Raw genomic sequence first — 8236 nt, forward strand, 5'->3', positions numbered from 1 at the left:
ACACTCCAATTTGTGGTATTCTCAGTCAAAACAGGAGGGGTCTTGTGAAGCAGGTTCACTGTGCTCAGGTATCAATCTCAGAAGAGGACTCTACTCACCCATACCAAGCACCAATCTAAATCCACTTGCATAAGTCACAAGAGACTGAATATTCATACAAAAATTTAAATCAAGCAACTTTTTACTCACAGGCAATAATGGGCACTGGAAGCATATGTTTCATGATGAGCCTATCCCTCAAGACTCAGCAAAGCTGCTCAAGGCAGATGGAGTTGTGTCTGCAAGTTCTCACACTGCACTGTAGCTGAAGGACCCTGAAAGTGTGCTCTGCATTGTATTTTATACGCAGGGGCAACTTGGCCTCTGGGCTAAAGCATTGCAGGTCACTCTGTTCTAGCAGGGATGGGAACACAGCCTGGGCTATTTGGGCCAGTTCCTCTTTATTTTAGGATGTTGCATTCTCAGCACATTCTGAAAACTACAGTGAGAAAGGAGGGAAGAACTGGACCACCAAGGTCATTTGAGAATTAGTCCTGCACTCTGGAGTCTGAAAAAAATACTCATTCTTTCATTAAGTACTTAATGAGGGCCTAGTATGTACCTGAAACTGTAGTAAGTGAACAAAAATCCATGTAGTCTTTTCCTTCACGAACTTATAATCTAAGAGAAGAGATAGACATATGTGTGAAATTTCCCACAACTACTTCCACCTAGTGAAACCTTCAACAAATATTGAACATTCATGAGTTATTAGGCACATTCAAGATGCTGCAGATGCAGTAGTGAGCAAACATGGACAAACGTATCTGTTGGACATGTGAGTTGTGCTGTCTGAAAATACACCAAATACATAAAATATGCAGTGTTAAGTGATGCAAAGAAATGAAGCATGGGAGAGGGTAAAATGAGAAACGTGCAGGTGCCAATTGGGGGTGTGACCTAATTTTGGTTTCCCTGGAGGGTTCTTTAATAGGGTTAGTATTGAGCCAGTATATAAAAGAGTAATTGGGATTACCAGGCAGAGAAAGGAAAGAGCCTTCTAGGCAGAAGAATCATGCGTGAAAATGTCCTGTGGTAGAAGATGACACTAGCACTCGGAAGAACAAAACAGTTCTTGTGGTTTGCTAAGAAAGAGCAATATCAGAATTTCTTTATCAAGTCCTTATTACTGTGTGCTTTTAAGGTTTCACTGCAGGCTATTCCATTCATTTCTGTGTTGTATATAGGTCTACTCAGACTGGCATTGGCTTCTTTCATAACTACCTTTCCATAACTAACATAAATAACAGAGTTAATACTTTGTATACCTACAAAATTCATCTATTCTATGTCTGTTGCTCTTATAATTCTGTTTTCTCCATTGTAAAGAGGCCAGACTCCAGAGTTACGCTGGTTGTGATGTCCATGTGTAATACTTATTAATCATATAACTCAGACAAATGACTGACTCTTTCAGAGACTCATTTTCCTGACCCATAAAATGAAAGGCAATAATGTTATTTATTACACACTATTGTGACGTTAATATGACAGAATTGTGTGGGATGATGCATTTAGCACAGTTGTGGCATCATAACCAAGCATTCAGAGGTTTGTGACTTTTAATGAACATAGTAATAGGATTAATAATATTCCTATTGCAATACAATAGATTTAACATAAGAACTTCAGGTGATCTAACTTCCATAAGCAACCTTTTTCCTTTCTCATTCTTCTTGAATTATTGGTTTAGTACACAAAACAAAATATTTTACATGGATAATTGCCTGGACATTTTCCTCTTTCTTTTGCGGTTGTTGTTGAGTCCCTAAGATATCTCTATTTCTTCCTGGGATAAAAATTGCCTAATAATGAAAAAATGTTCTCTTGTTTAGCGGCACCTATCATAGCAAGGAATAACTCACTGTTTCATGACTACCAAATAGAAAACTAAAGGATTTTTTTAAAAAAATTATCTTTGAAGCTTTTTGGCTCTGTCCTGCATAATGAAACCTGCATAACTAACATTCAGAGTAATGATGTGTTACTGCGTGAATGAACATAAAGACAATGTTCAAATTTTATTCAATGGAATATCAAAAAGCTTCAAATATAAGTTACCAAAAAACAGAATGACATTATGAGTTATTCCTGGAAACAAAATTTGTAACCTTCTGTGGCCATAGTGACAATGATCTCTATTATTAAATTTTAATAAGTTAACCATTTTAAATTTCAATAATACATATAAACGAGCTATCAGTGAAAGTGTCCCATTATTTCAGTGAGACATTAACAAAGGTACGTATTATACATTGTCATACTATTTCTCAAAAACATTATTTTTTACTCCTTATGACATTCAATTTTACCATTATGCACACACTGAATTCACGTCTCTTTCCAGAAGCAATGAAATTTTCATTTTAAATCTCATGGGTACAAATGTAAGGTCAAGCAGGTGCCAAGATGATCTGAAGCAGGCCAGATCTATTAACTGAAAGTGGTGCTTGATATTTCTTATCCTGGGTGATGGAATGAGCTTCCATTGCTAACTGAGAAATCTCTATCTAGTAATAATAATACCCCTAATTTACTGATTTTCCTTTGAGGATGAATTTAGATGTAAAATATACATAATTGGATTTAAATAATTGAAACCGTTTTGTTCCTTCTGAGAAAATAACAATCTTAAGCAAATATTATCTCTTCTGAAAACTGGCAGAAGGCTGAAAAAATATATTAATGTTCTTTCCAGTTATTTTGAGAATTCTGATTGTAAAATAAGAAGACTCTAGTAAAAAACCACATTTGAAAGCACATGTAGAAATGGATATAGTTTAGATATTGCCTCACCCAAATCTCAAGTTAAACTGTAATCTCCAATCCTGGAGGTGGGGCCTGGTGGGAGGTGTTTAGATCATGGGGGCGGATCCCTCATGGCTTGGTGTTTTCTTTGCAATAGCGAGTGAGCTCTCAAGAAATCTGATCATATAAAGTGGGGGCAACTCCCCCTCAACTCTCTCTCTCTCTGTTACTCCTGCTTTCACCATATGAAGTGTCTGCTCTCCCTTTGCCTTCTGCCATGATTTTAAGCTTCCTGATGTCTCCCTAGAAGCCAAGCAGATGCCAGCACTATGCTTCCTGTACAACCTACAGAATGGTGAGCCAGTTAAACCTCTTTTCTTTAGAAATCACTCAGTCGCAGGTATTTCTTTACAGCAATGCAAGAATGGCCTGATACATATAAAGATATTACTATCTTTAAAATAGTTCATGTAAGATGCTGTGGTATTTTTATATTTCTATGATGCCACCTTGCATAAAATAAATTATGAACATACCCTTACTCTCCTTATAGTATTTGATTACATTGAAATCTGTATCTTGTGGGAAATTTTAATATTTTGACACAATCTAAAGGCACTAAAAGCTCATGTTTAATAAAAATTGATAGAATAAATTGAAAAAGGAAGAATAAAAAAGTGAATTAGAAAGGTGGATAATACTGTTTTAAATAAAAATGTGTCTGTTAAGAAAGAAAAATATTTCCAGAATTCAAACCATATTTGGAGAAAATACATTGAAAGAAAATATTAATTTATTATTGCAGAGGTAATATAAGTACGTAGCAATTTGATATGATTACAGTGCCCCACCGAAAACATGCTTAAATTAAATTTATATGTATTTTATAAACATAACTAAATTTTAATCATATTTTTATATACTCAAATGAAAGGTTTACAGTGGGTTTAATTTTAAAACATCAGATCAAGTATATGCTGAAATCCTCTTCTTCTATTCACTTCAGATACACCAAAATGATAGCCCACACATAAAAGAAGAATGAAAAATGTCAGAGTCCATGTTGTAGAAATCTGTAGTGGAAACCAAACAAACAGAAACAAAAAAAAAAAAACCACAATTATGAACCCCAAACTTTGAGGAACTCTTAAACTCAGTGGTCTATAGAACCTAAGAGTTAAATTAGAATTTACTCATGTGGCTGGGATCCAAGATCTTGAGGACTGTGCAGGGCTCTGTAGGGCTAGGGAACAAACCTGTACAACACACAGTCATGAAACTGGATACTAGAAACTCTATACCTACTATGAGGGACAAAAGCAGTATCCCTTGCCAAACCAAGGTTTATGTGGCATTAGTGCTGGAATAGAAAAGTAGCCTGAAAAACATAACAGAGAAACAATAGCTGCAGCAGTAAGTACTCATATACAGTCATTTAATATATCATGGGAGAGCATTGTTAATCAGTTTGATAAAAATGTAATGATCCATAAAAGTTACTGGGAAAATGGGTATCCATCGTGGTTTATAATGAAACTGGATTTCTACTTTACAGACTAAACAGTAGCCAAGATTGATGATATAAATACCAAAGAGTATAAAATCTTTGGAAAATAACATACAAGGATGTCTTTATAACACCAGTGTAAGAAAAGATATCTTAAATAAGGCACAGCAAGCACAAATCACATAATGAAGAAGAGTGAACTGAGCTACATTATACTAAGAACTTTTGTTTATTTAAAAAAACCATAAAGTGAGTGAAAAAATACAGGCAGTATATTTTTATAACCTATATGTGGATTTTTAATAAGCAAAATGATATTTAGTATTTATAAAACCAAAAAATTGTTTAGTATTCAGAATGTATATTAAAAATTGAGTCCTTAAGAAATAAAAAAGAACAAAAAGACAAACATGACCAAGCATGCCACATAAATACAATTATGAATGACCTCACATATATGACATGATGCTCAAATTTAGTAAGAATTATAGAAATGCTAATCACAACAAAAGTGAGATGTTATTTCACAGTTATCAGATTAACACAAATTAAATATGAAAATATCAAAATTGCTAAATTTTGGAGCATTTAACATGAGAGATTATAAGCACCTTGCACAGTTAGTTGGAAATGTTTAGTAAAATGCGCATACCCAGTGGTTTCATAATTGCATTACTCCAAGAAAACACAAGCACATATGCTCATACCTATGTACATGAATGTTTACCATAGCATTATCCACAATAGAAAAAAATAAGGAACAACTCCAATGATCATAAGTAGTAGAATGGAAAGATAAATTGCATTATTTTAACAAAAATGGAACCATTTACCACAGTGAAAACAAATGAATTAAAGCTGAATTAGTTAACATGGCTGAATCTCAATAGTACAAAACTGAGTTGAAGAAGAGAGTCACAGAATAATATGTGAAGGATTTTCACCTCTATAATCACACACAGGCCAAAAGAAGAAAATATTGTTTAGGGTCACATGAATATAGTAAGTCTAAGAAAGCAAAGAATGGAAGTAAGTCACAGATATCCAAGTTTGTAATTGCCTCTGTAAGAAGGTGTCACTCTGGAGCCTAAAATGTTAAGGAAATGGAAAATATTAACTAAATATTAAGATTATGGGAATGACAATAACCTTCCTTGTCAGTGGCAGACACCATATGACTCAACAGTGTATGAGTTTTAGATCCTAATATGAATGATTGAAATATACAAATTCATAGTTAATACAATGTGTTTATATCTCAATAAATATTTAATAATATACAGCTGATTTTTCTGAGCTAGCTAAAATGTATTTATTTCACTTATTTATTTCAGGTTTCGGTATACTTTATAAATGCACTGTTTGTCACTAAAATCTAATTGATAGTATAAATGTATAAATACACTAGGAAAATAAAAACTAATGGTTAATTTCTGTTTGTTCCCCCCTAATAAAATCATCTACTAGGTATAATTTATAGAACTATTGGAAGAACTCATTGTGAGCTCTGCTGGAAAAGTCAAACAAAGATTTGTAGTATATATAAAATAGCTACATGCAATTTTTATATATCCATATTAACATTGTTTAAATCTCATAGACTTTTAATTAAGACCCTGAAATAAACAAAGGTCCTATTAATTTTTCCTTTGTAAAATAAAGCAGATAAAATGTTGCTTAGCAACTGTACCAAAGAGCACTTTGGTATATCATTCACTAAATAGCAAACTTATAGATGGATAGATAGAGATATAAGTCGTGATATGGAGATAGAGACATATAGATAGATGCTACATGAAAGAATTAAAAAGTCATAAATTCCTTTCTCAACCTCTAAAGAAAAAAAATCATCATAATACCATCATTGCCTAAGATAGAGAGATTTCCTTAAGGTGTGTTTTATTTTCCGATTTTTTTCTAGACTTTTAAAATTTATAATTTCTTTTGTGGAAACCATTTCTCTCTCCTTTTCTAGCACAGACTTGGTCCCACACAAGCTAAAGTCGGTCCAGTTTCTACTATACCCACGCAGTCTTCAAGGGCTACCTGAAAATTAAGAATAATATAGCAGGCAGCCCAGGCAAGACAAGACCTGAAATGTGTCATTTTTTGAAAAACTGAATGTGTAGAATTAGCAAGAAATTAAAACATGTAAGATAGGATAAAATCTTACATATTAGACAAAACATATATATATATATTTGTTTGTTTGTTTGTTTTGTTTTTTTGAGACGGAGTGTCACTCTGTCGCCCAGGCTGTAGTTCAGTGGCGCGATCTCGGCTCACTGCAAGCTCCTCCTCCCGGGGTTCATGCCATTCTCCTGCCTCAGCCTCCAATAAATATATTTTTAAACAAATATATTCTTTTTTAGTTTAAAAGAGGTCTCTCTTTTTAGTTTAGCTTCTTTAGTTTAGCACAGCCTCTTTTTTAGTATAACCAATGAAAATCATGATGTAATAAATTTTTAAATTGAGAATACATACAGTATACTCATGTTAGATTTTTGGGTTTACTCAAACTATATGCCTGTTTATTGTTTTTCTATGTCACTGTGAATATTCTTCAGAAAAGTTTAAAGCAGAGAAATTGATAGTAACAAATAGGAAGGAAGGCAATCAGTTGCATAAGAGAATAAAAATTTGCTGATTTCTAAAATTTTAAAAAACTGAACTCATATTTCTTGCTTTCTATAAAAGTGTTCATGGGTTGGCAATAATAAAAAATAAAACTTGCAACTACATAGTCAAAAATTATTTTTCATTTAAATAAGCTATATGTTATAAATAAAATTATATAACATAATTAAAAATAAGATTTCTTTATAAAACAAATTAAAACATATTCCTAATCATATATCTGATTTCTGGAATCTGGGTCACATACCTGTATTCTATTTTAAAGGAAGGAAAAAAAATGCAAATTTCCATTTTCCTAAGGAAGCAAATAACAATGTGGGAACACTTCCCAAATAAAAAGGGTATTCAAAACACATACAGAAAAAAAAAGACATATGATTAACGGCTAATGTCTGCTCCTTGTTCAATATAAATGTGCACCTCTTTTTCGTACTTAAACATCCCACAAATAGCAAAAACTATAAAACCAACAACAGTGAACTGCTCACACCCTAAGAAATGCAATTATTTGAGAAGTAGTTTGGTATAGTGGCTATAAGCATGATATTTATATTTAGATTGCCTTTAAAATTTAACAGATATGTGCCTGAATAACATATGTAAGTCTACAGCATTCAGTTTCTTTACTTATGTAATGGAAAGACAACAGCAAATACATCATGTGGTTCTCATGAGAGTGAAATGAATTTTTCCATATGGATATCATTCGAACACTTTGTACACACCAACTACTCAGTATGTTCTAGCTCTTACTGTTTTACTCCATATAGATTATAGATATATATCAGGATCATGGCTTTAGGGAGAAAATGTTTGCAAGTATCATCCTATAAAATGGTGCAAGAGACCATTTTCAATTTCATTTTCTGTGTTAATGTTAATTGAAACTATAATACCCTCTTGATCCACGGCACATATATTCTGATTGTAGGAGAAAAAAAGCCATTTTTAGTTGTGGGTGATACTACACCCCAAATTTGTAAGGTTTTTCTCTCAACTATTAGAGTGCTAGAATTTTATTAAACCATTTGTTAATTCACTAAAAGCAGCTGCCTCCTGATAAAAGGGGCTGTAGCAAGATAAGTGAATTGTATGAGACCCTTAAAATTGTTTTATTTCTGTTCACCTAAATTGAGTGCAATAATCAGAAGCAAAATGTGTGGGATACCATAACGATAAAAATATGTTAATTAATTACTTAGAGATATTACTGACAGAAGCATTGCAGAAGTTGAAAGCAAATCAAGGATATGTGATTCTTGTTAATTAACAACAACCATTTTCCCCTACGACATGAGAATGATC

General features: G+C 32.9%; 1 annotated feature.

Annotated features, from left to right (window-relative positions):
• Positions 7494-7694: a silencer, noted in NCBI's record as "peak598 fragment used in MPRA reporter construct". NCBI's record gives its function as "represses an SCP1 promoter by STARR-seq MPRAs in K562 erythroleukemia cells {active_cell/tissue: K562}" and the evidence as "EXISTENCE:reporter gene assay evidence [ECO:0000049][PMID:32103011]".

Source organism: Homo sapiens, chromosome 1 (genome assembly GCF_000001405.40).
Source record: "Homo sapiens chromosome 1, GRCh38.p14 Primary Assembly".
NCBI classification, from domain to species: Eukaryota; Metazoa; Chordata; class Mammalia; order Primates; family Hominidae; genus Homo; species Homo sapiens.